General features: G+C 57.0%; 1 protein-coding gene across 11 annotated transcripts, besides 10 other annotated features; it reads right to left on the bottom strand.

Annotated features, from left to right (window-relative positions):
• Positions 339-838: an enhancer, noted in NCBI's record as "H3K4me1 hESC enhancer chr17:45791975-45792474 (GRCh37/hg19 assembly coordinates)". NCBI's record gives its function as "activates a minimal SCP1, AML or CMV promoter by ChIP-STARR-seq in naive H9 embryonic stem cells {active_cell/tissue: H9 hESC(naive)}" and the evidence as "EXISTENCE:reporter gene assay evidence [ECO:0000049][PMID:30033119]".
• Positions 839-1,340: an enhancer, noted in NCBI's record as "H3K4me1 hESC enhancer chr17:45791473-45791974 (GRCh37/hg19 assembly coordinates)". NCBI's record gives its function as "activates a minimal SCP1, AML or CMV promoter by ChIP-STARR-seq in naive H9 embryonic stem cells {active_cell/tissue: H9 hESC(naive)}" and the evidence as "EXISTENCE:reporter gene assay evidence [ECO:0000049][PMID:30033119]".
• On the bottom strand, positions 3,384-21,384 carry TBKBP1 (TBK1 binding protein 1). Of its 11 annotated transcripts, none has more exons than XM_047437156.1 (10): positions 21,344-21,384; positions 19,110-19,368; positions 18,614-18,736; positions 18,254-18,358; positions 16,672-16,852; positions 15,952-16,124; positions 15,750-15,811; positions 6,935-7,053; positions 5,995-6,722; positions 3,384-4,949 (listed from the first exon to the last, which is right to left on the bottom strand). In XM_047437156.1, exons 2-10 carry the CDS (start codon positions 19,332-19,334, stop codon positions 4,821-4,823), a joined length of 1,845 nt encoding a protein of 614 aa, XP_047293112.1. In that variant the 5' UTR covers positions 19,335-19,368; positions 21,344-21,384; the 3' UTR covers positions 3,384-4,820. The 11 variants fall into 11 exon arrangements, with proteins under 11 accessions (XP_047293112.1, XP_005257918.1, XP_047293110.1 ...); XM_005257861.5 differs by lacking the exon at positions 21,344-21,384 and adding an exon at positions 20,784-21,286 and having other exon boundaries at positions 15,952-16,127; XM_047437154.1 differs by lacking the exon at positions 21,344-21,384 and adding an exon at positions 20,784-21,286.
• Positions 11,044-11,143: a silencer, noted in NCBI's record as "silent region_8638". NCBI's record gives its function as "represses an Ori minimal core promoter by ATAC-STARR-seq in GM12878 lymphoblastoid cells {active_cell/tissue: GM12878}" and the evidence as "EXISTENCE:reporter gene assay evidence [ECO:0000049][PMID:35858748]".
• Positions 12,178-12,297: an enhancer, noted in NCBI's record as "active region_12315". NCBI's record gives its function as "activates an Ori minimal core promoter by ATAC-STARR-seq in GM12878 lymphoblastoid cells {active_cell/tissue: GM12878}" and the evidence as "EXISTENCE:reporter gene assay evidence [ECO:0000049][PMID:35858748]".
• Positions 19,490-20,170: an enhancer, noted in NCBI's record as "H3K27ac-H3K4me1 hESC enhancer chr17:45772643-45773323 (GRCh37/hg19 assembly coordinates)". NCBI's record gives its function as "activates a minimal SCP1, AML or CMV promoter by ChIP-STARR-seq in naive and primed H9 embryonic stem cells {active_cell/tissue: H9 hESC(naive and primed)}" and the evidence as "EXISTENCE:reporter gene assay evidence [ECO:0000049][PMID:30033119]".
• Positions 19,686-19,845: a silencer, noted in NCBI's record as "fragment chr17:45772968-45773127 (GRCh37/hg19 assembly coordinates)". NCBI's record gives its function as "represses an EF-1alpha promoter that drives an FKBP-Casp9 reporter gene in an ReSE screen in K562 erythroleukemia cells {active_cell/tissue: K562}" and the evidence as "EXISTENCE:reporter gene assay evidence [ECO:0000049][PMID:32094911]".
• Positions 20,171-20,850: an enhancer, noted in NCBI's record as "H3K27ac-H3K4me1 hESC enhancer chr17:45771963-45772642 (GRCh37/hg19 assembly coordinates)". NCBI's record gives its function as "activates a minimal SCP1, AML or CMV promoter by ChIP-STARR-seq in naive H9 embryonic stem cells {active_cell/tissue: H9 hESC(naive)}" and the evidence as "EXISTENCE:reporter gene assay evidence [ECO:0000049][PMID:30033119]".
• Positions 20,628-20,687: a silencer, noted in NCBI's record as "silent region_8637". NCBI's record gives its function as "represses an Ori minimal core promoter by ATAC-STARR-seq in GM12878 lymphoblastoid cells {active_cell/tissue: GM12878}" and the evidence as "EXISTENCE:reporter gene assay evidence [ECO:0000049][PMID:35858748]".
• Positions 20,851-21,531: an enhancer, noted in NCBI's record as "H3K27ac hESC enhancer chr17:45771282-45771962 (GRCh37/hg19 assembly coordinates)". NCBI's record gives its function as "activates a minimal SCP1, AML or CMV promoter by ChIP-STARR-seq in naive H9 embryonic stem cells {active_cell/tissue: H9 hESC(naive)}" and the evidence as "EXISTENCE:reporter gene assay evidence [ECO:0000049][PMID:30033119]".
• Positions 20,938-21,067: a silencer, noted in NCBI's record as "silent region_8636". NCBI's record gives its function as "represses an Ori minimal core promoter by ATAC-STARR-seq in GM12878 lymphoblastoid cells {active_cell/tissue: GM12878}" and the evidence as "EXISTENCE:reporter gene assay evidence [ECO:0000049][PMID:35858748]".

Below are 26,429 nucleotides of genomic sequence, written 5' to 3'. Positions count from 1 at the left end.
TCGCAAGCTCTTCTGCTCTATTGTGTGGCCTATTTCCCATGTAGAATGGTCCACTGAGCTGGTCCCAGATTGGCAGGGGAGGTTCAGACCTTGGCCCTGGGAAATGCCCAGTCTGATGGGGAAGGCAGGACACAGACTGAGAACACTGGCAGAGACAACTCCCCAGTTAGGTAGAGCTGGGGTCATTACCGCTGCCAGAGGGGCACCAGGGAGAGGGTTCCCAGAGGAAAAGACAGTGGGGAAGGCTCTGAAGAGGGAAAGGTCAGGGCTCAGGTGTTTGGGGTTGAGGGAAGTGGGAAGCTAGAAAGAGGTGTCTGCCCAACCTGGAGAGGGATGAGCCACAGCAGGTGCATTTCCCCTGCCCAGGGCCCTGCTGTGGGGCTGACCTCCTGTCCCCTGCACCGTGGGAGTGTTGGAGGCAAGGAAAGGGAACCTCAAAGTCCCCCTCAAGGGAACCGCCTCCCCCCTTGTTATTTCTGGCTCCATTTTCTTGGTCAAGAAGGGTGTCAGTGGTAATGCAAATTAGGAGGTGTTTGAGGTGCTGGCCGACACCCATCCTGTCCCCTCAGCCCTCCCCCTCCCCCATGCCCACACTCACATAGCCGAATGGGACATCTGTGAGATGCGCCTGGTGACTCTGCCCTTGGCTGAATTGGCATGCAGGATGGGTGAAGCTGTGGGCTGAGACTGGGTTCTCAGGGGCATCTGCCTCTGCCCCAAGGAAGGGCAGGTGCGAGAGGGCCTCTAGCTGATGCCCAGGTTCCCCCTGTGCAGCCCCTTTGTGCCCTCAGCCCTGCCAGACCTCCCTGGTCATGACAGAGCCACATGGCATCTACATGGCATCTGCATGAACAGTGAATGCACAAACCAGTAAGTGCCTCAAGCCAGAGCCTTCTGTCCTGGGCTGCGGTGTAAAGGGCACGGCTGGAGGCTCCTGAACAGCATGGCTCACGTGCTCACCGGGCTCCGGTGCAGCAGATGTGGGTTGGCTCTTAGAAGGCAACCAGGGGGCGCAGCCTTGAGCACTGAGAATGTCTCTGGGGTCAAAACAGAGAAAGTGGAGGAAGTGCAGGAATAGGGGCAGGTGCTGGAGGATTTCACACATTTTCCCCACATTACCTGGCCGCTGCCTCAGACACCTTGCCCGCCCCTTCCCAGCTAGGATGCCCGGCCCTTGTGGTTCATCCTTATATCTGACCTCTATTCTTCCTGTGGCCGCCAAAGTTGGTCTGTTCTTGTCCTTGCAGAGGGAGAGATGGGACTGGGGGAACTGTCCAGCTTTCCCTACTCTATAAAGACGTCACTGAGTGAGCCCCCCACCCACTCCATTCTTCATTAGTCCTAATCAGCTGGGTAAGGTGTTTCTGATTAACACGGCTGACTCACCCACACACCCCTCCCCTTGTTAGGATCCGATGCTCCCAACATACACTGTCCCGCACACATGTGCACGTACATGCACCACCAGCTGCTGAAAGGAGCTGTTGCTGCACTCAGCTGATCTCCTGACACAGCCTGCATGGGGACCCAGGCCAGGGGCAGGGGTCTCCATGGCCTAGTAGCACTGGCTGGGGAAACCCTGTGGGGAGAAGGGGCATAGCCGGAGAGACTGTGGGACACTGGCCTTTAATACAGCATGTGGCGATGCGCCCGAGGGTGGCTTGTTCCCTGTGAAGTTGTCTTCCCCCAACCCTGCATGTCTGGCTTTGGGAGAGTGAGTGGGTCCCCCACGTGTGTCTTTCCAGCCTCGACAGAGGTCTTCCCTCCCTCCGCCTTGCTCCTGCCGCAGTTTTCCCACCCCCTTCCCCTTTCCGGGAGCCTAGAGACCCCTTTGCCTCTGCATTTTCTCAGCCCCAGTGCCCTGCCTCCCTGTCTCCACAGAGTAATGCATATCAAGTGTCCTTCCATGATCACAGCCCTTGAGAGAAGGACTGGCAGGGCTCCCTAGCCCTTCCCCATCTCCCCACACCATGTCCTCTCCTTTTGGTGGCAGGGGTGAGGGGGAGGATTAGAGGAAAGGCTGGGGCACGCTAGCTTTCTCTCCTTCCCAGCCTTCCCTCCCAGCCCCCAGCAACTTTCCGCCCTGCACCTGAGCCGTCTCCCAGGCCCCTAGAAATCAAGGAGACAAGCTGCCAGAACCTGCGCCCTGTGTCCCCACACTCCCCCTCACCCTGGTGACAGGGGAATGTCCAGGTTGCAGGACACCTGGGTTCCCTCCCACCTTCAGACATACTCAAGGACCAGCAGTGGTTACCTGGGTCATCCCCCTGCCTCTGTGCTCTCATTCCCAGCCATCCTTTGTGCCTTTTCTCAACAGCAGGATTTCTCTTTGCCTCATGTGTCCCTAGACCACCCTTATTCATTCATGCACATCTCCTAAGTGCTTCCAAAGATCCAAATGGCACCCAGGTCCAGAAACTCGGGTGCTGCCTTCCTCCATGGAGGTGGAGAAATAGCAGGGGGCACTACACGGGCACCCATGTGCCAAAGGTTCCAGAACCTTCTTTCCCAGGGCTGTGAACCCATGTCACATAGGGAAGGCTGGTCAAACTTCTCCTGGCACTCAGAACTTGGCCACGGGCACAATTGAGCTTGGATGAACTTTGAGAGGGCAGCATAGTTGTTAACTGCAACAGAGAACCCAGGGCAGCTGGGAAGTCTTCCCATGGGGGTCTGGACTTTGGCACTGAATGGGAAGGCACATTTGCCCTGGGTCTAGAGCTGAACCTCACACCTTCAATGAGCAATTGCCTTTGTCCCCTTTTTGTTTTTAAGTGAACCATTGACCAAAAATGGCCACATGGAAGAGAAAGGCACCCAGTTGATGAACAAGTCACTGAAGCACTTTTTGCAGACACAGGGCACAGCCCCGGCTGGGGCAGAAGTCATGGGTTCATGACCCAGCTCTGACTTTTCAGGCTGTGGGACTTCCGAGGCAGCTGCTGAGCCTGGAACCCAGCCCCTCCCCTGTTCTTAGACCCATGAGGACATGGAACACGGATGTTCTTCCTCTTTGAGGCCCCAGCCTGGTTCCTGACAAGCAGAAATCATTTGATGAATACATAACTGTTACTGATAAACCCCAAGGCTTTAGAACCTTGACTGGCCAGACCTACTGGGTGGGAAATTCAAGAGGCCTGCTCAGGGCTGGGTGACTGCTTTGTATCTATCTGTTCTAATGACTGCCGTGCCACAAGTCATCTGCAACCACTTACACATCTGAACCTCCAGAACCGCTCTGAATGTGGGTGCCCCATGCATCCCCTACTTGCCCAGTGTCTACCTCCCATGGTCACAGTCCCTTGAGACACACTTTCCAAGACCTCCTGCTACCAAGGGCTCTACCCGTCCCCCGCCCTGCCCCCAGCCACAGAGGGCACAGATTGAGCACAGATGGAACAGGTAAGTTTTATTTGGACTTTCAACTTGTTCAGAGAGCACAGGGGCCCCTGCCTCCCCTCTCCAGGCCCCCTTCCCCATTTCCACTCCCTGGGGACGCTCAGGGTACAATGACGTGTCCTTGGCCCCTTCCCCGCCTGACATACCCCTTCACTCCCCTGCTCTATAGAGGGGAGGGGTGCAGGGAGGTGGGGCCTGGAAGAGTTGGATAAGAGCGGGACATGCGCTGTCGGTAGCGGCCACTGCTCCCCACCCAGAGCTGAGACCTGGGAGAGGCGCGCAGTGGAGCAGGGTGGATTCATTGTGGGGTGGCAGGCTTTCGCCGTAGAAGGCTCCCCACCTCAGCCCTGGGGACCCCCTGGCCTCCTGCTTACCCGTCCTTCTGAGGGTACAACTCTGAGGTAGATTTCACAGAGGAAATGTAGGTGGGTGGGTGGAGTGTGGGAAGGGGTTAGCTCTTTTGAAGTTGATCTCCACAGCACCCTGGGCCCGTTCTCAGGTTCTGGCCTGGGAGGCAGGGGCTGATGACACCCACCCAGCTAACAGAGGCTGAGTCACACAAGGGCTCCAGGGCACCTGTGGTGTCAGGGGCTCCAGTGGAAGAAGGGTTGAGGGGGTACCTGCCTTGACGATCTGTGCCTCAGTGCCAGGGGCACCAGGAGGGCATGGGCCTGGGAGGCTGGCAGACAGTCCCCTGGCCGTAGGGGCATGCTGTAGGGCCCTGGCCCTCAGAGAAGCCTCTTTAGGCTAGATCTTCCCAGTCCTCCAGGATCCTCCCTCTCCTCTCCTCTCCTCCCCTCCCTATTCCCCAGAGTGGGCAGAACAGGGAAAGGAGGACAGGACTGGCCTGCAGGGAACCACAAGAAACAAGATGCCTCCCTCCCCCAGTGGGGGCCCATGCCATGAGCCCTAGGCTGGCCACAGGATGGAGGAACTGGGGTCAGTGCACAGAGCAGGCTCTGGGACCCCAAAGGCAGCCTGTGGGTGCTCCCCAGACAGAGCCCCGTCTGAGAAAGATGGACATTTGGGGAGGGGTGCAGGAGCTCCTGGAGTCCTCTAACACCTTCCCCCCACCCCAGGCCCAAGCACTGGACACCTTCTTGGATCCAACCCTGATTAAGAACAGAAAGGCAGAGGGAGAGGCCTGGGAGGGGTATGCCGTCCCCATCCCAGCCCAAGTCCCCACCTCCTAAGCAGAAACCAGGAGCATGGGGGGAGCCTCGGCTGACCTCCCAGGAAGAGCCAGAGCTGAGTGGTGCCTGGACCAGGGAAGATGGCACACACGTTGACTCGGTAGCAAGTGGAGGTATCTGGGGGTCGCAAGGGCAGGGACCCCCCACGAGATTCATGCAGCATTCAAAGTGAGTGTTTGGGGGTGATAGGAGAGGACGGAGAAACAGCCAGTGGGTGGGGCTGGTGCCCTAGATCTTGCTGTTCTCCAGGTGGGAGTCAATGTGTTTGATGAGGGCATCATCCGGGTACCCGACAGGGAAACCCAGCTGGCAGAGGGGGCAGCTGCGGATGTCGGAGCCCACCGTCTCCATCAGCAACTGTCGAGAGAGAAGGAAGTCACTTATGGTCCCCAGCCCCCACCCATGGTCCCCACATCCCAGCCTGCCCTGTCCCAGGACCCAGGGCAGGGAGGGCTGTGGCATGCAGGAGGGGTCCAGCCACCCTTTCTTCAGCACCGTCCTCCCCCACACCAGCTCAGTGTCCACCCCCCTGCCCAGGGACAGGGTCCCCAGGAGGCAGGTATGAGAGAGTCACTGCTAAGCTTGCCAGGGCATCTGTGGTAATGAGAGAAGCCAAGACCCAGACATGCCCCCAGAGTGACTAAGACAGCTCCCGGATAACTCAAAGCAATGTACGATCCTAAACAAGGTACAACCCCAAAATAATTTTCTGTCTGGCTTTGGAGTATATTTTGGTCTTTCCAGGTTACAATGGGTGGCTCTGACATTCAGGGAACTCATTATTTCAGTGAAATGATTGAGCCCTGAGATAGGCTTCTGTCTTTCAGGACAGACAGAAAAGGGCAAGGGCTCTGAGGCCTGAAGAAGGGAGCTGGATAAACAGGCCTGTTCCTGTGTTGGCTGGTGGCCTGCTATGGTCAGTAGCCACCATCACCACAGCCAATATAATAGCAGGTGCTTGAGCCAGGCACTGTGCTGACCACTTTAGGCTCACTGCCTGCTTCTTAAGAACCCTGTAAGGTAGTCAGATACTATAATCATTGTCCCCATTTTGCAGATGAGAATATTGAGGATCAGAGAGGATAAGTAACTTGCACAAGGTCCCACAGCTATTAAGCGGTGGAGTTTGGAATCAAAGGCAGAACTGTCACTCACTCCAAAATCCATATCCTTATCCAAGGAAATGAACGAAATCTTAATGGGGCAGGCCCCAATTTCTGGTGACAGAAGACCACGGGAAAGGGAGGTGAAAGGACCTAGACTGTGGCCCGGGGTCCAAGGAGGGTGAATAGTTTGTGCGCTGACACCCGAAAGGGGCAAGGCCCTCAACGGAGGGTGAGGCGCTGGGGTCTCAATCTCAAGGCCCGGTCCGGGGTGGGCGGAACGCGGGCGCCCCACTCACGTTGATGGACGGCCAGGACTGCGCGTGCTCGGCGTGGGCGTAGGCGGTGGCGGCGGGCGACTCGGGGATGGGGAAGCCCGCGCAGAAGGAGGCGCAGCGGATGGTGCCCACCTCCGGGCTGGGCGGGCTGGTGGGCACAGCCCACTCGTCCTCCTCCGACGGCTGCTTCTCGAAGCGCAGCCGGATGCCCTCGAAGGCGCGCCGCGGGCTGAGGGGCCTGCCAGGGCCGTAGAGCTCGCTGCCGTAGGCCCGGGGCTTGGGGAGAGTGGCCGCTTCGGCCTGCAGCCAGGGCGGGGAGGCGCCCGCGTAGGCCGCGCCCTCCGCCAGCTCAGAGTAGCTGCGGCGGCCCTGGAAGCCGGCCTTCACGTGGTGGCTGGGCGGCTTGGCGTAGGCGCGCTCGGCCAGCGTCCTCTCGCCCGGCGGGGGCGGCGGCGGTGGCCGGGGCTGCGGGGCCGGGCAGCTGGGGGGCACCGGGGAACGGCGCTGCGGGCTGGGGGACTGGCACGACGGCGGCACCGGCGAGCGGCGCTGCGGGACGGGCGACGGGCAGGAGGGTGAGGCCGGAGAGCGGCGCTGCTGCGGCGAGGGGCACGGGGGCACGGGAGAGCGGCGCTGGGGGACGGGGGACTGGCACGGGGGGCACGGGGGAGCCGCTCGGGCAGGCGGGGAGGGGGAGGGGCACTGGGGGGCCGGGGAGTGGCGTTGTGACAGCGGCGAGTGCCTCTGGCCTGGAAGAGAAACCGGGACGGGGTGGGGGGACAAAGGTGCAGAGAGAAGACCTCAGAACTGGAGCGCCAGGGGCTTGCCCGGACCCATGCCCACCAACTCCAGGCCACAGGAAAGGAAATAAAGGGTGGTCCCCATGACCAAGATGGTTGCCATGGCTACCCGCTCCTTCCCGGGTCCCGCGGCTGCCTCCCCCTGCCCTGCCCCATCTCACCGCCACTCCGGGCCTGTTCCTGCAACAGAGTCCTCAAGATTCTCCCCTGTAGGGAACTCAACTCCCGAAGCCGGCCCAGCTCCTCCGTCAGCTCGGTGTAGGCCAGCGCCAAATTCACCCTGAAGTCAGAGGGCAGTGGGAAAGACGAGAAGGGCAGTGGGTCTACCGTCCCAGCTGTGGAGGAAGAACTGGCTCTACCCCAGCATCTGGCCCCACCATGCTCCCTCCCACCCGCAGGGCCCTCCTACCCCAATTGCAGAAATCCTCCCTACCTTTAAGGTCCAGCTCAAAAGCCACCTCTTCCAGGGAGACTCCCTCTGCATCCTGAGACCCATTCCCTGGGCTAGGGCAGTGGTTCCCAGCCTAAGTGCAGGGACAGGGAGCAGAGAGATTCCAAGGGCTCCCTGAATCCCTGCATCAGGCACTGTCCGTGGTCTGAACACAGCTCATACAGGTATGTGTGAATGTTTTTCTAATCTGTGCAAAAGCTGTGATGATGAATTAAAGCACCGATTCATCAAAAAGCTGTACTGAATTTATAGTAGCTTCTGTCACTGTGAATTTTCTCAAGCAATGCATACTAAAAGTGTTATAATCTGTGTACTGGGAGTGGGATCCATGAAGAGTCCTCACCTTTGAAAAGGTTGGGGACCCTGCTGCATAGAATAGCTCGTTCCATAAGTGAAGATGGTTTCCTGGCTGGTGGAGGTGCTAACTGATAAACTTAACCCCAAGCCAGCCCAATTCCATGTCCACTGCACCTGGCTCGACCTCAAAGCTGCCTCTGGGCTCTTTTCAGCTTTGCCCCTCCCAGGACCTCCTTGCTGTACAACTCCACCAGGGCCTTAACACTGAGATCTTTGTGAACAGCTGCTGTACACTGCACACTTGCAGTGAGTGCCAGTCACACCAGGCACTTCTCAAAGGCTGCCTTGTTCTAGAACTTTATGGGAAGTTTCTTGATGGTGAGGATTACGTCATTGTATTTATATTCCCACCACCTTGTCCAGGGCCTGGAACCCAGCAGATGTTCAGTAAGTGGATAATGCATTTGAGCCTCTCCCTCCATTTTTCTTTCTCCTTCCCTTTCTTCCTCCCTGCTTCCTGTTCAGGCATCTTGGGCACCCACCCTCATGGAGCTGGAACAGACTTGGCAAGGAACCTCACCCACTTCCTTTATCTCTAGGTCACTTGCAACCCAGAACCATGGAAGGTCATCACTCCACTGCTCTCTGCTTTCTCCCACTGTGGCCTGCACGGCCCCAGGAGCCCTCCCTGACCTCATGGGAAGCTCTGCCATGCCCTTGGGCCCTGCCTTCATCACTGTTCTGAGTGTGGACAGAGCCTTGAATCTCCCTGAAGGCAGAGATTTAGGTTTCTTTGGCTCTCCCCACCTCCAGCTCCAGAAGGGACTCGGGGAACTTAGTGGAAGATGGAGCTGGGAGAAAATACCAGGTGTCACTCCACACAGATCTCTTCCCAGGGGAGGTCTTGTCCCAGGACAAGGGGGCTCAAGTTCTTAAGCCTGGAGGGCCCTGTCCCCATCCCATAGTGATGGACATGTGGATGGGAGAGTGTGAAGAGAGGTGTGAGGCCAGGCTGATGAATGAGGAAAGGCGTGAATGAGCGTAGGGGTGTGTGCGTGTGTGTGTGTGTGTGTGTGTGTGTGTGTGTGTGTGTGTGTCTAAGTCTAACCCTAAAGGAGAGGAGGGGAAGTCGTGAGGTTAGGGCTTCAGAGGGCAGGAAAAGAGAGGTGGAGAGGGTAGATAATGACTAGGCTCCCTGCTGTCGCTCACTGGCTGTCTCTTACTAATCCTGGGGCAGAAACTGCCCCTCCCACAAGACTATTTTTAACCCACTTGGGCCAAAGCCAAATTACTGCAAATGGGCCAGGTCTCTGGGAGACAGCCCTCTTCTTAGGGAGGGAGTCCTCGCCACCCATCTGATGGTGAGCAGGGCTGGGCAGGCAGAGAGGAAGGAGTCCCAGAAGCTGCTGCTGAGACCCTGCAGCCTCCATCCCATCACATCTCAGCCCTTGTTTTTGTTAAATGTGTCCTGTGCCCCCTCATCCTCAGCTCATGGGTCTGTGGGAAGAAATGGCATCTCCCCCATCAGACTGGGAGGTCCAGGTGTGTCCCACGTCAAATTGGGGACTCCCCAAGGGAAGGCTTCCCCTTCAGACTGAGGACATCTGTGGGCAGGAGCTGTGTGTCCCCCATCAGACTGGCGGTTTTTGGAGGGCAGGATCGTGCTATCTCCTTGGCAGCAGGGGAAGGAGAGGGCTCTGGGCAGGGCACAGACAGAGTGTGGTCCTCTGTCCACATAGCCAAAGCTTCTCTCACCATCCATTTTCACTGCTGTATCTCAGGCGACAGATACAGGTCGTCGTCTTCACACCCCGCCTCAGAGATTTCACCTGCCACACTCAGTTCCCAGGTCCCTGTCACTCCCCTGCTTGCCTCCCTCCCCTTGTCAGGAGCTACCCCAGTTTCTACCACCCAGCCCCTGGCATCCTTCTCACAGTGAAACAGACAGGGTGGCTGAAAATGGAAGGAAGAAGCCCTGGCCCACAATGCCCAGCCCCTCTCCCAGCTCTGCCACCTGGGGCCTGAGGCAGGTGGGTTCTGTCCACCCAGAACTTCAGGCAACCCTCACAAAGACTGCTAAGTCCCCGGCAAGGTGATTGACTTGACCTCCTCCTGATGCCCCATGGCCTTTTGGGACCTCCCCCTTCATTGGGTGTCTCTCTCCATCTCAAGATGCACAGGCCTGGGCCGCTGAAGATGCTAACGACCTGAATGACTCACTGAAAACACTGCCAATTCAGTGGAAAAAAAAATCTCAACTTCACAACACAACCAAGAGTTGCACACGTGCACCGAAATACACATTCCATTTCCTGGCTTCCTGGCCCACACCTGAGTGCTTTTTCACCATCATGACTGCTTGGGAAGAATGGGTCAGGTAAGTGGCAGCAGATGGCTGCATTTGGATGCTGCTTTATTGCTTACATGACAGGAGAAAGTTCTGAGTCTTTCAAAACCTGGGAGGCACCCAGAGAGAAAAGAATCGGATGATCTGTTTGAGTGCTCACCCCGGGGCCAGGCACTCTGCTGAGAACTTTATTCATCTCCACAACAACCCTACGGCATTGCCACTGTTACCTTCATTTTACAGATGAGAAAACTGAGGCTTACAGAGGTTAAGTTACTTGACCAAAATCATAAAGCCTACTAGCAATGGAGTTGCTGGGATGGGAGCTCTGCCCCCTAGACTCCAAAGTCCAGGCTACTGACCATCATGCTATAACGTCCCCCAAAGAAGCGGGAAGGAGGGGAGAGGAAAGGCAAGGCAGCAACAGAAGGGAAAGACGAAGAGGAGGAGGGGACTGGGGACCTTGGCAGTGGCCTGGAAGCCCTGAGAATCACCACCCCTTCCCTGGGGGTGATAGGAAGGTGCTAGACACATGTGGAAGTAGAAAATCAGGGCGATTAAGAGGCTGGCTCAAGGTCACAGAGTGGCAGTGGCACACAGCAGATTCAAACACAGGTTCTTGGCACCTCAGCCTGCCAAGCTGGCAACTTCGGAGGAGCCAGAGAGCAAATGGCAGAGCTGGCAGGAAGGAGGGCCCCCTGGGCTGCAAATATTCCACGCTTCGCATCCTTTCATTCAGTCTTTCCACGAATAATTCACAGATCTCACACACTTCTGGAAACGATAAAGCTGGGGACTGCCTTGAGGACAGGATTAAAGGAGCCAGGGTCAGACTAGGAGTGGGGTTGATGTAGCACGTGGCCAAGATTGTGGACAGAGCTGAAGGTCAGGATCAGGGATAGGGTTAGAGTCAGGGACGGGAGCAGTAAAAGGGTTAGGATTAGGGTTAGGTTTAGAGCTGTCCATGTGGTCAGAATCATCGTCTGATTCAGAATTGGGAGGAAAACAGAAATCCAACCTTCCAGGGCCCTTCCATCCTTGCTCAAAGCTGCCCCCAGCTGCCCCAGCCACCTCACCCCTGTGGGATAATTTAGGGACCAAACTTTCCACCACCCACAGGCACACCCAGCATCAGTCTTCCCGCCCGACCCTCGGGGAGGGGACCACAGGCACCGGGCCGTGGAACGGACTTGAGGTTGCGGGCCGGCGGGGAGGAGGAAGTTGCTTTGCAACAACCCAGTGCTCCACCACTTCCTTTCGGGCGCCTTGAGCCCCTTCTCTCTCCTCGACCAGCTATGACTGGTGGGGTCCCCAGAGCCTGGCTCTTCATGGCAGCCCCTGCCACGAATCCACCAGAGCTGACATCCCGGGTCTAGAAAGCTTCCCAGATGCAGCTGATTGGAGCAGCTCAGGGGTAGGCCTGGAAACCAGGGTTCCTACATAGGTGGGGTGCCCAGAGATCCCAGTTTGCCTAGGACTGTCCCAGTTCACGCTAGTTGCCCCAGCATAATTATTAATAGTGCCCCCTTTCACTTTCAAAAGTGATCCAGTCTGGTCAACAAATCACACGGTTGCCCCTCATATAAGGGCTTTCTACCTGAAGAAGAACCTGAACCAGAAACACACCGCAGAGGTGCCATCACCCGATCTGCTCAGGACCCACTTGGCATCTGCACTGAATTTCTTACTGAACTCTCAGATTACTTCACTTCCCTGCACCTCAGTTTGCTCATCTGTAAAAGGGGGACAATACCTACATCACGTTTGTGAGAATGAAATGAGATTTTGTAGGTAAATCACCTCGCATAGTGTCTGGCATGGACAAAAAAAAAAAAAAATTTCAGGGGAGTGCCTAGCAGATAGGTGGAGAAGGGGGGAAACTTGTTTTGAGCCTTTTTTTGGAGACAGCAGCCTAGTGGCTTCGGTTTAAGGAGGGAAGATGGGCGTTTCCCATCGAGGGAGGGGGCGCTGGCATGAGCTGCTCCCCACCCTGCTGGCAGGCAAAGCACCAAGGACTGGGGCTGAAAGCCCACACATCCCTCAGACCCACCTAGCCTCTGGGAGCCCCCGAGGCTGCAAGTGCTCAGGGGTTAACTCCTGTGAGTGCAGCGCGGGTGCCCTGGCCGAAGGAGACTTGAAAGAAAGGAAGTAGGGAGGGTGAGAAGCGTGAAGGGGGAGGCCCTGGGCCTGCTGGTTCTGGGGCATGAGGCTACGCTCAGGGTATGCGGGGGTCTCCGACTTCCGTCCTGACCCACCCCACGCTGCCCTTGACCTCCGTGCAGAGTTTCCATCCTCTCTCTCGAGTTCACACTTCTTCCCACCACTAACCGCAGCCCACGCAGAGGCTTGTGGGTGGAGAGAGGGGTGGGGGGGGAGGTGGTGCGGAAAAGGGCCCGGGCTGCAGCGCTGAGCCCCCAACGTTGGGAAGAAAGAAAGGCCTATAGTTTTTTCCTCATCGCCCATACTGAGTCCCCATCTTCTCCCAGATGGACCCCGCACAGATGAGCCCACCCTCCCTTACCGGGCCCTTATTCCCCTCACAGACCCCCTGTCCCTTCGGAGCCCTCATCCCCTTCAAGAAGTTCCCCCCCCCGCATTTCCCCTCCCCCTCAGCACGGCCATACCCTCCAAAAGGCCCCACTCTGGAACCCCAGGCTGGGGAGCTGGGCCCAGAGAGAAGGGGGTTGTGGGTGCTGCGCCTTCCACCTGGGCTGGGAACCCCCCAAGGGTCAGGGTCTTTACCTCCCTGTGCATCCTCAGGAGCAGGGTGGGCTCTGCTCCCACCGCCTCCCTCATCACTGCCTTTGGCCTCTGCGTGACCCCCAGTGGCTCTTCCTCTGGGGCAATTTGTCTCCCTGGGCTCTGTCCCCAGGAGCTGGGCAAACCAAACCATGGGTTTCCCAGGGGGTCAGACCTGGAGGGTAGTAGTCTGCCTCGGTCTGGTCTGGGTGTCTGTTTTCGTGGGAACGTTAATGGCCAGAACTTGTGGGCCAGGGGCTGGGAGGGAAGGAACTGGGAAACCCTGGGGCTGGGGCTAGGATCCAGAGAAGGGAATTAATAGAGATGGGGGTGGGGGCGGTTAACCTTGAGGACTCCCGCAATAAAACTGGCTGCCCCGGAGGTGTCTAGACCAAGACAGGTGGGCATACATACATACAGAGTTCACCATACAGAAGACTCCCGCCTAAGAGTGGGCTGGACTCAGGAATTGGGTGTACCCCTCTTCAGCCTTCATATCCTGGTCCTCCTCACCCCAATCACACCCCAAACCTGGGTCATCCAGCCTCGACACTCACTCCACTCCCGGAAAAGCCTACTTGTAAAATTCCCACCAGCCTGGAAAGTCAGGTGGAAACAGAAGAAAGAGGGGCACTAGTGGGGGAAGAGGAGCTGAAAGCAAGTGACTGAGGCTTCCTTGGGTGGAAGGACAGGGGAGGGAGCACTCGGGAAGCAGCCTATTACCAAAAGGAGCTGAGTTTATAAGAAAATAAAACTATCGGGGTAGTGAGGACTTCCTCTGAGAATTAACGCTCGCCAAACTAGGGCTGTCCAGAGATGCTCGCTCGGCCTGAAAGGAAGCGTGTGGCTGGGCAGCAGAGCCTGGCTGGCTCCAGATGCAGAGATCTGGGAGGCTGGAGGCAGAGCCTAATCACAGGGAAGGAGGGGAGGAGCCAGGAGGTGGCCTCCAGTAAGCCTGTGGGGCCAGCCCCCAAGCAGAGGCCAGCTCCCTCCAGCCAAAGGGCCTGAGAAGGGCAGGAGCCTTGAGAGAGAGAGGGAAGGGGCTGCTCTTGCCAGAATGGGCAGCGTGGATGATACGGCCTCCTAGCCCCTTATAGGGTGGGCTTCCTTTCACTCACACAATACAACCTTGGCCCCTGGGAGCCCTGCCCCTTCTCTGCTTCTACCCACCGCCTCACCTTCCTCTCCCATCTCTCAGCAATGACTGGCCCCTGAGCCTGTGAGGGAAACTGGATCCAGAGAGGTAGAGTCCAAGTCAGTAAAGAAAGGCCCCTGGGATTCAAAACCTGAAGAGCCAGACTCCAGCCCCACCAAAATGTCCTCCCTTGGAGTTCTACCAATTCAGGGAGATTCACTGCTGGTCTGGTAAGAGGGGACTGGGTTCAGTGACCCATGAAGGGCCCTACATCATGACTTCTGGGGCAAGCTAGGATTGGAGAGTGTGAGAGAGAGAGAGAGAGAGTGTGTGTGTGTGTGTGTGTGTGTCTGTGTGTGTCTGTGTGTTCCAGGTCTGGGCACATGGGCTATGATGGGCCCCAAGCTCCAGCCACAAGCTAGGGTGGACCCTCTCCACAAAGGCCTAGCTGAGGGGTCCCACCCACCAGTCCCACAAACTGGGTTCTCACCACCTCCCCAGCTATCACAGCTCCACCCAAGCCCTCACTCTTAGGTAGGGAGGTAGGCGAGGGGTATCCCCAGTTGGCCAGAAGCTGGGAGGCAGATAAGGAAGAAGCCTGCTGGGCAGGAGACCTCCGGAGCCCCGGAGCTGGGTATGCTATGCGGTGGAGGGTTAGTTCCTGCCCCTCTCTGGGCCTCAGTCTTCTCCTCCAATTAGAGTAGGGAGTCTGTGCCACACAGCTCATCTTAGGGGAGAGGACTTAGGCGGAAAGAGGTTTGAGCTCTATTTCTCAGAAAGTGGGAGAGGGTGAGTTCAGTGCGGATGTGAAAGGCACCAGGTTCCACTGTTGCCGGGTGGCTGCTCACCCCTCCCTTGCTGTCCAGTGCCCCCCTGGAGGCCCCAGCACTGGGCCCCCCACCAACACAGCTCCCTTGCCGCTCTCTGCTGCCCCTTTCTTGGTAGGATTCAAGGGAGTACCCTAGCAGAGCAGATTCTAACTCCCCACCCCACGGCTGTGTGAACCCATGGAAACCTCTCCTGTCTCTAAGCCTCAGGCTTCTCTCTCCTGAGATCAGCAGACAAGGCCCAACAAATCCCAAGAAACACCACCTCCCTCTTCCTCACTAGGGAGGGGAGGGTGAACCCAACTGGCCGGGCCTTGTCACTGGAATAGAAAATGGGGCCCTACGGAGGCCCAAAAGCTCAGCAGGGGACATTACACTGGACACAGCGACAAAGCAGCCGAGTAAGTGTCACTTAGCCCTGGCATCTCCAGAAGAGATGGGTTTGGGCCCCAGAGGAAAGCAAAGGGAATGTCCCAGATCCCAAACACTCAAGAACCCCACCTCCCAGGAGTCGAGACCAGCCTGACCAACATGGAGAAACCCCATCTCTACTAAAAATCCAAAAAAAAAAAAAAAAAAAAAAAAAAAGGTCCGGGCGCAGTGGCTCACTCCTATAATCCCAGCACTTTGGGAGGCCGAGGCGGGCGGATCACAAGGTCAGGAGATCGAGACCATCCTGGCTAACGCAGTGAAACCCCATCTCTACTAAAAATACAAAAAAAAATTAGCCAGGCGTAGTGGCGAGCGCCTGTAGTCCTAGCTACTCAGGAGGCTGAGGCAGGAGAATGGCGTGAACCAGGACGCGGAGCTTGCAGTGAGCCGAGATTGCGCCACTGCACTCAAGCCTGGGTGACAGAGCAAGACTCCGTCTCAAAAAAAAAAAAAAAATTAGCTAGGCATGGTGGTGCATGCCTGTAATCCCAGCTACTCGGGAGGCTGAGGCAGGAGAATTGCTTGAACCCGAGAGGCAGAGGTTGCGGTGAGCCAAGATCACGCCATTGCACTCCAGCCTGGGCAACAAGAGCGAAACTCCATCTCAAAAAAAAAAAAAAAGAACCCCACCTCCTTCCTATGAAGGATGCACACAGAGCAACAGCAGCCCAGACACCACACCCCTGAGGGCTGGGAGGGGAGGTCTCCCAAACATCACGGAGGGACCAGGGTTACCAATGTGACTTACTGATCATCCCCAACTCTTTTCACCCACGCCATGTCTCGCTCCGACTGGTTGGAGGCCAGATCCTAAGGAAGAAGATGAAGAGGTCAGAGCCCAAGCTCACCCCTGCCAGGGCCCTTGTCTACAGTTCCCTGGGCCAGTCTGCACACAGTGGGGAAGGCCCAGCCCTGGACCTCCAGAAGCTGTTCCAGGCCCCTGCATTTACCTGGGCCCGGGTCTCCTGCAGCTGCTTCAGCTCCCCCTGCAGCCGCTCGCACTCGGCCTGGAGCTGCTCCTCCCGGAGCTGAGCCCCCCGGGCCTCTCCCTGCGCGGCCTCCAAAGCCTCTTCTAGCCGCCGCCGCTCCAGGTCACTCACACTGGGTGTGGAGCCCGGCCAGCCTGCTGTCGGTGGACAGGACAACGTCAGGCGAGCTCAGCTGCCTCCTCCAGCTCCCAGAGCCAGAGTGAAACAGGAGGATGCAGCATGGGGACTCCAAGAGAGAAGCCAGGACAGCTAGCCAAGGAGGGATGACTGCGACAAGGGCAGCGAGGAAAGATGGGCTGAGCCGCATTTCTAATTTTCCTGGAGGCCAGGAAAAAAATAAGATGGGCTCTTGAAGGCTTTACTGGCCAGACTCAAGTCTAGAGCATCTGCAAGGGCCTCTCCTAGTCACAGCCAGAGACGGGGCGGGGGGACTCTGGGTGGGGGCGCCCTCTGCTGGCAGGCACAGGAATTGCAACGAGGTGATCAGGAATGACCGAGTTAGAAGGGGAGAAATTAGGGTAACAGTGGGTGAGGTGAGGGGACAGCAGGTAAGGGAGGATGGGATGATTATGGAGAAATAGATTATATTACAAATGGGATGGTAAGTAAGTGCGAGGTGTCTAGGAATGTTGAAATGGGGGTTGGGGACTAGGAGGTAAGTCGGGGTCACTGAGATCTCACCATGACTCAAGCCAGATCCCCCTCTCAGTGCCAGGTAGTGCAGGTCTAAATCAGTGCAGGGAGGGGCGGGGGCTGGCGGTGGGCTCAGGTTGGAGAAGGCTGCATCCTGGAGGCCTTGCTGTTGCCGCAGCTGCTGCTCCAAACCACAGATCTGACGCAGGTGCGTCTCCACCAGGGCCCTCTGGAGAGAGAGACAGAGGGGAGGGTCTGCACAGGCCCAGGACTTCCCCATGTCTGGAGAGTCATCACCCCAGACTACAGCAGAGGCCCCAGGTCACACATCCCAAGCCCACTCTCCAAGTGGCTGTGAGTGCAAAGTCTCCTCTCAGCCACCGCAATGCAGCTGTTGCGGGCTGTTGCCCCTGGCGAGGTCAAGTTAATGCCCCTGCTCTGTCATTAACACACAGGGACACTTAAAAGAACACTCAGCCCCCTGTTTGGAGGCCAGCCCCCCTCAGGAGCATCAGAACTTCCATTTGCATACATGACAAGAGCTTCTGGACTTCACCCACCTGATCCATAAAATGGGGATAACAGTCCCACACTCACCTCTTAGGGTTGTTTTGAGAATTAAAATGAGCTAGTGTATGCCAGGTGAAAAGAACAGTGCCTGGCACACCCCGAGTGCCACATAAATATCTATGATTATGAAGGCAAAGCATCTATACATGAATGCCCCATCACCCTCACCACAACCTGGTGAGGGTGTTAATATTTGCCCCACTTTTCAGAGGAGGGATGGAGGCTAAGTGACTTAACTGAGGTCATAGCTTAGGGTTGGCTGAGACCATGTCTCCTGATTTTTTTTTTTTTTTTTTTTTTTTTTGGAGACAGGGTCTGGCTATGTCACCCAGGCTGGAGTGCAGTGGCTTGATCTTGGCTCACCAAAGCTTCGATCTCCTGGGCTAAAGCGATCCTCCCACCTCAGCCTCCTGAGTAGCTGGGACCACAGGTGTGCACCACCACACCTGGCTAACTTCTTTTTTGTATTTTTTGTAGAGATGGGGTTTCACTATGTTGCCCAGGCTGGTCTCAAACTCCTTAACCTCCCAAAGTGCTGAGATTATAGGCGTGAGCCACCATACCTGGCCTGTCTCTTGATTTTGACCTGCTCACCGGCACAGCCATACCCTGACTCGGAAGCACACCCAAGCACAGGCCCATCCTAGCAGTCACACACTCCTGGTCACCTCTGCCCTCACCCTCACAGCCTCCCAAGGGCAGTGCTCACAGGCACAGGGTCACCCCAGCGTGAGAGCCAGGGCAGTGCTCACAGGCACAGGGTCACCCCAGCGTGACAGCCAGGCATACACACAGAGACAGAGGTTCCCACGGGGCCACTGCATGGCCAGGATGCACACAGACACCGCAACATGGATAACACATGCAGTCTCCCTCACAAGGGCAAATGGGCGGGCACTCACAGATACACATGAACACAAGCAGGGCACAAACAAGTGATGTGTGACACATGGGACTGCACTGTCACAGGCTGGAATCCTCACACACAGAACTAAATGCACACATGCACACACACAACCAGCTACACATCCTCAAGCACCTCCGGCTCCCCAGGCCTCACCATCTCCCTCAGCTCTGTCTCCAAGTCACTCTTCTCCACGCAGAGTTTCTCGTAGGCCTGGATCATCTCTCCAAGCTGTTCTTCCTGCTCCTTGTTCTTCTGTAACTGGATGAGGCCCAGAGGGCCCCACCACAGGGTCAGTCCCACACTGGACTTGGAGTTGGAGAGCTCCCTGCACCTCCCCACCCCCACTCCCAGCACCCTATGGAGGGGCAGGAGGAGCTGCAGCTGGGCTTAGGGAGGACCTGGCCATCTCTAATCAAAGGGCAGAGGCCAGATGCTGGGGGGTGTGGAGGGAAGGGTATCAGAAACAGACTGGAGCAAGATGCTCAGGGGGTGCGCCCAGCCTGGTAGGCTCACCTCATGCTGGAACTGGTTGAGCCGTTGCTGCAGGCTGACCTTCTCCACCTCCAGCAGGGAGCCATCCTTGATTTCATACAGAGAAAAGCCATGCTCCTCTCCAAAGTCACTGATCAGTGGGTACTGCAGGTGGGGTGGAGCTTCAGGAGAGTGGATTCCCGGGTGCCCAGCCCAGGCCTCAGCCTGGCTGTGCCCCCAACCCACAACCTGCCTCAGACCTTTGACCCTCCTTCTCCTTGGCTAGTGGGATCCCAATTCCCATGGGTCTGTAGCCATCTCCCACCCACCGGATCTGTTTTAGATCCCAGATCCAGCCCTTCTGAAGCCAACAGGAGACAGTTCGCATCCGGAACAGCCACGTCTCTCATGGGAGACCCTCAAGTTCCCAAGAGTCTGCACAGTGACCCCTCTTTTGGATCCCTGGTATCTACCAGATTCCCAGTCCCCCTCCCCATCCCATACACTCTATCAGGCGCCCTCCTCTCCAAGTTCTGACCTTGATCTCGTAGACTTTGAGGCGGCGTCGGAGGGTGGCGTTCTCCCTCTCCAGGCCCCCCAGCCGTTCCTTGATGTCTCCGTAAGCAGTGATGAGGGCAAAGTGGGAGGCGGAGCACATGTCGCCCCCAAGCGAGGGGTCTCCGGGACTGTCCAGCCACACCTCACTAGGCCCCAGGGCCTCCTGCGTCAGGATGCTGATGTCGTCCTCGAACATGGACTCCATGGTGAGGGCCGGGCCGCGGCCCACACGGGGCCTCCTAGGAGAGCAGGAGCAACCGTGGACAGGGCCGTCTGTCTAGGGTTTGTCCCTGGTACCCCTCTCCCTGGCTCTGCACTCCCTGGGGCCGGCTAAGATGCAACCCAGAAACTTCCTGCCCCGAGCTCAGCAGGGACTCCCATGGCCCCTTCCCAGACTCCTCAGCCCCATCCTCTCTGCCGCCTTGGGGAAAAGGGGCTGGAACCAGGTGAAGACCCCGCTGCCAGGGTGTTGACAAGTAGGGACAAGTAAGCCAGGCCGGCAGCAGGGGCAGGCTCCTGCCAGAACCCAGGGAGACCTGTGGATGGGAGAGGGCTGCCTTCCCAGCCGGGCCCGGCCCATTCCTCCGCGCTTCTCCACCCCAGGCCTTACTTCCCCAAATACCTCGCCGCCAAGCTCCTCAGCCTGGGCCTCTGGCACCCCAGCTCCTCCCCAAGGAAGGCCCAGAGCTGCGCGAGGGTCGGCCCCTCCACAGTCGGCACGCCCTCGGCTGCACCCCCGCCCAACTTCCCCACTTCCTCCCGCAGGATCCCAGAGTTCAGGAAAAGGAAGCGCCTCCCCCGGGCGCACCGGGGCTGTGGCAGCGGTCCAGGACCCCTTGGCCCCTGACCTGGGACCCACAGGAAGTCCTTGGCTGAGTGTTACGGGGCGCAAACTGGGGAAGGGGACCCAGGTGGAAGGGGACGCGAACGAATTCCCAAGGCTGTCTCAGGGTGCCCGCGCACCGGGAAATGGGGAACCCTACGAGGGGGCAGGAATGACTCAGGCTCCCGAAAGCAGGAGTAGGCAGTGAGGGGGTGCGTGTGTACTTCTCTCGGGCCTGGTTATGAATGTGTGTCTGGGGTTGGCGTATGGGGGGAGTGTGCGTCTGTGAATGAGTGTAGGTGTGTCAGTCAATGAGTGCCTTCGGGGTCGCAGGGGCGTCGGGACGGAGTGGGGCAGCGACCAGGAGGCTGGTGTGTGCACGCGTGCGTGAGCGCGTGGGCAGGGTGGCACGTCCGGGCCGCGTGTCACGTGAGACGCGAGGGGACTGTCCGAGGTGTGTGCGCGCGCTGGAGCGTTATGTGCACCCCGGAGAGGGGGCTCGGCAGGGAGCTGTGAGTTCAGACAGCGGGGCCCCCAGGTCGGGCTGCAGGAGCTTGGGGTGCAAAGGGCTCCGGCGCAGGCTCCAATTCAATCCACCCCCCCCCCTCCGCCACCCACAGGCCCATCTAAGTGCCAGGGAAACGCGAGTGACTGGGTCTGAGTAAGGAGTGTGTGCGCGCGTTTGTAGGGCCGGCCCCACCTTTAACCCTCTCCTTCCCACGCCATCCCCTCCCCCCAGCTCCGCGCGCCAGCGCTTACCACACCCCCCCAGACCCCCGCCCGCCCCTCTGCGCCCACCCCGCTGGCGGGGCTCTGTCCCCGAGGCCGCACCACAAATGCCTCCTTCCTCCGCATTCCTCTCTGGGCCCAGCGCCCGGGTGAGCGCAATGGAAGGCGGCTGGGGAAGGGGTGAGTGCCTCTGTCGGCCCGGGCCCCTCCTGCGGCCCCTTTAAGAGCCGCCCTTTAAACCCCTTTCGCTCGGCCGACAGAAATTGTCGCCCCTCCCCTCTCGGGGGCCGAGACCACGCAGCCCCCTCCCCCACAACCGGCCGAGCCCTGGGCCCCCGGACACCCTCTCGGGGCCGGGGAAGGGGCTCCGGGAGTGGCGCGGCCTGAGGAACGGCGGCGGAGGGGGACGCGAGGGGATGAGGGCGGCCGACACCGGACCCCTTCCCTCCCAGCCATCCCGTGCGGCTGCCAGCCGCCCTCCTGCCGCCTCCTCCTGCCCACCCCGCGACCCCTGGGGCCCAGCCCGGGCGCCGCTCCCCTCCCCCAGCCCTAGCCCCAGCCGGGGACTCACAGCTGCTGCCGGTTCCTGCTTGTAATCGCAGCTTACCCCCTCCGCCTGCTCCCTCCCCAAACGGGCACCAGTGCCCCCACCCCCCTGGTACCGCGCTCTGCTCCTCGCCCTGTCGCCGCCGCCGGGTCTCTCCCCACCCCCCACCCCTCCCCCCAACCCCCTCCCTCCCGTCCGCCCCGCTCCTCCTCCGCCGCCGCCGCCTCCTCCGCCTCCTCCTCCCCGGCTGCTCCGGGTTTCTCCAGCTGGGAAGGCGCCCCGGACCCCGCCGCTGCCACCACCACGTGGCGAGAGGCGGCGGCCCCTACGGTGCGGCCCTTCCTGGCAGCGCGCCCGGAGCCCACCGGCTCCCTGCGGCGCCAGCGGCCCGCGCTGGCGCCCCCTCCCCGACGCCTCCCGGCGCAGTGTGGCGTGGTGGCGTGTGTTGGGGGCGTCTGCGGTCAGTGCAGGGGCCCGGCTGATGCTTTGGTTGTTTTGGTTGTTTAGTTATGGGCTGTATATTTGGGGAGGAAGTGGGGCTATTTATCTGGCTTTTTTTTTTTTTTTTTGGTCTTTGCGCTTTTGAGAAGGAAATCATTAGACCTGCTCTTCGTTGCTCTTGGTAAAAGGGGCATTGCTGCGATAAATACATTGAACATAGGGTACAGAGAGATTAAAGCTGTAACTTCTTTGGAAGTGAGAGTAAACTAAGGAGGTCAAAGATTCATTCATGAAGAAGGACAGCCATCTCCCTCCCCACACACCACTCCCCGGCCACCCTCAAGTACCCACAGGTCAGGGAAATGAAGAAACAACAGATGTCACCCTGTGCACAAAGATTATTTGAGCACCTGCCAAACTGCTGGGCAAGAGAAACAAGTTTTTTGCTACTTTCCTGCTGTGTGACCTTGGGCAAGTTACCTTAACCTTTCTAAGCTGGAGATCATGCCCCACCTAAGCACTCTCATGGAGGAAGAATGGGGATCAGAACTAAATACAGCAGCCTGCGAATGCTCAGGAAGTGTTAACGATGTCATTTTGAGTATTGCCTGGTGGATTAAATAATGTGGACAGAGGCATGGTCAGCCTAGCTGCAGGTAGAGAATGATCAGGGGAACCCTGGAGCACTCTGGCTGAAGAGCATCCTCTGTGGACAGGGAGGCAAAGCCCGGAAGCAGGGGATAAGCTGGGCGGGGGCTTTTGGCAGATTCAGCCTTAGCTGCGAAGACTGCTGGGAACCTGAGCCTACCTTTTTGGCTCCTGAGGTGGGATGGGGGTGGGAATCTCCGAGGGGGAGGATGGAAGGAAAAGGTTTCTTGCTCTCTCTGAGCTTTGAAAAGCAGCAGCTGCCATCTTTCCTCACTGCTGGGAGAAAATTGGACTGAGAGGTGAGCTTCTACCAGGAGAGCCAGCCAGAGCTCTAGACTCATTCTCTTCATAGAAGGGGGGATTCTCAGTGGCTTCCTTCCTCCTCCTCCTGCTGGGTTCCCTTTCAGTCTTTCCTGCCAGCACTGGCTCCCGTTTGTAGTCCAGAACAGGAAGGCAGGTCAGCCACTTGTTCTCTGAGGCACTAGCTTTCTCTGAACCATGTGGGATGACCTATCTACCCTCTAGATATGAAGGCAAACCAGTGGGGACATCTGTCACCCCACTAATCCCAAGGGCTAGGCAGATGTTCCTTTCCCTAGTACTCCCCAAGATCTCTTCTGAAGCAAGGGACCAGGCAAAAGATTGGAGGCTAGACTAGGAGGTGTAGGGTTGTCTCTGGGACCCTCGGTGACCTTGGACTTGGCCACAAACAGGACCCATAAGACCAACTGGCAAGCCCTCCCTCACTGGAAAAAGGGGTCCCAGGACCCTCTAAGCACACACTGTCTGGGATGAGTCATCAGCCCCCTGCTGCTGCTTGGATGCTCAGGGCCTAATTGAGTCACCTGGCAGGGTGCAGCCAAATGCTTCTATCCTTGGTTCTAGGTGGTTGGTGGCAAAAGTCCATTAGGCCTGGTTTAGGTGCCCTAAAATCCTCCCCCTCCCCCAATCTGGACCTGATCTCATTGCATTCTCCATTTCTAGTTCTGCTGCTCATACCAGGCAGTTCTGAGAGCAGAGATTATATCCCATCCATCCTTGTATTCTAAGGTGCCCTGAGGGTTGGTACCTGCTCGTTGTATATTTATTCGGCAAAGATTTCTTGAACATCTATTATGTGCTGGGTGCTGAGAATACAGTGCTGAACATGTCTCTGACAGGTATACATGTCTCTTGCTCTCTTAGAGCTTGCAGTATGGTAGAGAAGTCAGAAAAATAAAAAGATGAATAAGTAAAACCACTAGAAATTGTGATAAAGGACCAGGCACAGTGGCTCATGCCTGTAATCCCAGCACTTTGTGGGGCTGAGGCAGGCAGATCACCTGAGGTCAGGACTTTGAGACCAGCCTGACCAACATGGTGAAACCCGTCTCTACTAAACATGCAAAAATTAGCCAGGCATGACGGTGGGTCCCTGTAATCCCAGCTACTCGGGAGGCTGAGGCAGAAGAATTGCTTGAACCCAGGAGGTAGAGGTTGCAGTGAACCGAGGTGACCCCATTGCACTCCAGCCTGGGTGACAAGAGCGAAACTCCGTCTCAAAAAAAAGAAAGAAGGAAAGAAGGAAGGAAGGAAATTGTGATAAAGGATAAAAAGAAACACCAAGGGGCAGTACTAGAGAAGAATGGGAGGATGGGATCTGCTTCACAGTATTCAGAGAAGGTCTCCTTGATGAGCTCTTACAATTTTTTTTTTTTAAAAGACAGGGTCTTTCTCTGGCGCCCAGGCTGGAGTGCAGTGGTGCAATTTTGGCTCACTGCAGCTTCGCCCTCCTGGGCTAAGGTGATCCTCCCACCTCAGTCTCCAGGCGTGGTGGCTTGCGCCTCAGCTGGGACTACAGGCGTATGCCACACGCCCGGCTAATTTTTGTATTTTTTGTAGAGACAAGGTTTCACCATGTAGCCCAGGCTGCTCTCAAAATCCTGGGTTCAAGCCATCCACCTGCCTCGGCCTCCCAAAGTGCTGTGATTACAGGCATGAGCCACCGCACCTGGCTAAGCTAAATCTTAAAAGAGTAAGAAAGTATGTTCTTTGTTGAATGAATAAATAAATGAGGCAGTGTGACTTAAGACTACTTCACTTTTCTAGGCCTGTTTCCTCATCTGAGAAAGCTGAACATTGGTCTGAATACCCTTTTTATTTTTATTTTTATTTTTTTATGAGACGGAGTCTCGCTCTGTCACCCAGGCTGGAGTGCAGTGGCGTGGTCTCCGCTCACTGCAAGCTCCGCCTCCCAGGTTCATGCCATTCTCCTGCCTCAGCCTCCTGAGTAGCTGGAACTACAGGCGCCCGCCACCACGCCCAGCTAATTTTTTGTATTTTTAGTAGAGATGGGGTCTCGATCTCCTGACCTCGTGATCCGCCTGCCTCGGCATTCCAAAGTGCTGGGATTACAGGCGTGAGACACCATGCCCAGCTGGTCTGAATCCCTTTTAAGAGCCCCTGGTATTGGCAGGGCTCATCATGGTGGAGACAATAATAGGGGAGATGGTGAAGGGGATAGGAGCCACAGTGGGAGGACAGTGGGGAAAGTGGTGGACAGTGGTCAGGCATGAGTTGTAAAACATTTCTAAATGGCCTTCACAGGTGTGATAACAGAGGACCCACCTCCAATCGTTAAGGTAGGAGAGACAGTGCAAATGCAGGCCCCCAGAGCCAGGCCCTGCCAGTGTTTCCTCCTTGGAAACCACCAGGGAGACTCTCCCACTCCCATGACTCTTGCTCTGGAGGCTGTCTTTCCTGTCCCATTATTGCCTGAAAAGAGTAGGAGGAGGTGACATTAGCAGCCAGTTAAAGAGGCTGAATCAAAATAAAACCCAGATGACTCAAATGGAACCCTGGCGGGCAGGAAAATTGATTAGCCCCATGTGACTGCAGGATCTAGGTGCCACCTTCGCCCTCCAGTTCCAGACCCTAGAAAGTGGGCCATTCACCATGCAAGCATCCTGGGACTCCAACTGCAGCTGCAGGTGTTCCATCAGATGGGAGGGTAGGGCAGTGGTAGAAAGACATTCCTTCACCACGTCCCCAAATTCCTGTGGAGGTAATGCAGAGCCCCTAATTGAATTAGTAGGGTTTGGGAAGGAATAGAGTGGTTTTTTTTTTTTTTTTTTTTGAGACGGAGTTTCACTCTTGTTGCCCTGGCTGGAGTGCAATGGCACCATCGCGGCTCACCGCAGCCTCCACCTCCCGGGTTCAAGCAATTCTCCTGCCTCAGTCTCCCGAGTAGCTGGGATTACAGGCATGTGCCACCATGCCTGGCTAATTTTGTATTTTTAGTAGAGATGGGGTTTCTCCATGTTGGTCAGGCTGGTCTCAAACTCCCAACCTCAGGTGATCCCCCACCTCAGCCTCCCAAAGTGCTGGGATTACAGGCATGAGCCACCACGCCCAGATGTTTTTTGTTTTTTATAATTCCATATGTGCTTCATTTTTCTCCACAGCCATGTTCATTTCTGCTATCTCCCAAACAGAATTTTTAAAAGGTTATATTGAGGTCAGGCGCGGTGGCTTACGCCTGTAATCCCAGCACTTTGGGAGGCCGAAGCGGGTGGATCACAAGGTCAGGAGATCGAAACCATCCTGGCTAACACGGTGAAACCCCGTCTCTACTAAAAATACAAAAAATTACCCGGGCGTGGTGGCGGGCGCCTGTAGTCCCAGCTACTCAGGAGGCTGAGGCAGGAGAATGGCGTGAACCCGGGAGGCGGAGCTTGCAGTGAGCCGAGATCGCGCCACTGCACTCCAGCCTGGGTGACAGAGCAAGACTCCGTCTCAAAAAAAAAAAAAAAAAAGTTATATTGAATTATTGAATATTGATTATTTATCCATCAGAATGTGAGCTCCACAGGAAGATTTTGTTTGCTTATTCACTGCTATATCCCCAGTGTCTCCTGGCACGTAAACAGTTGTTTGGTAAGTGCAGTAGCGCAATCACATCTCACTGCAGACTTGATCGCCTGGGCCCAAGTGATCCTCCTGCCTCATCCTCCCACCACACCTGGCTAATGTGTTTTTTTGTTTTTGTTTTTGAGATGGAGTTTCGCTCTTGTCGTCCAGGCTGGAGTACAATGGCGCGATCTCAGCTCACCGCAACCTCCACCTCCCAGGTT

The sequence above is a fragment of the Homo sapiens genome, chromosome 17 (assembly GCF_000001405.40).
Source record: "Homo sapiens chromosome 17, GRCh38.p14 Primary Assembly".
NCBI classification, from domain to species: domain Eukaryota; kingdom Metazoa; phylum Chordata; class Mammalia; order Primates; family Hominidae; genus Homo; species Homo sapiens.
Note: the sequence above shows the minus strand (reverse complement) of the source record. Positions and strands in the feature narration are given on the sequence as shown.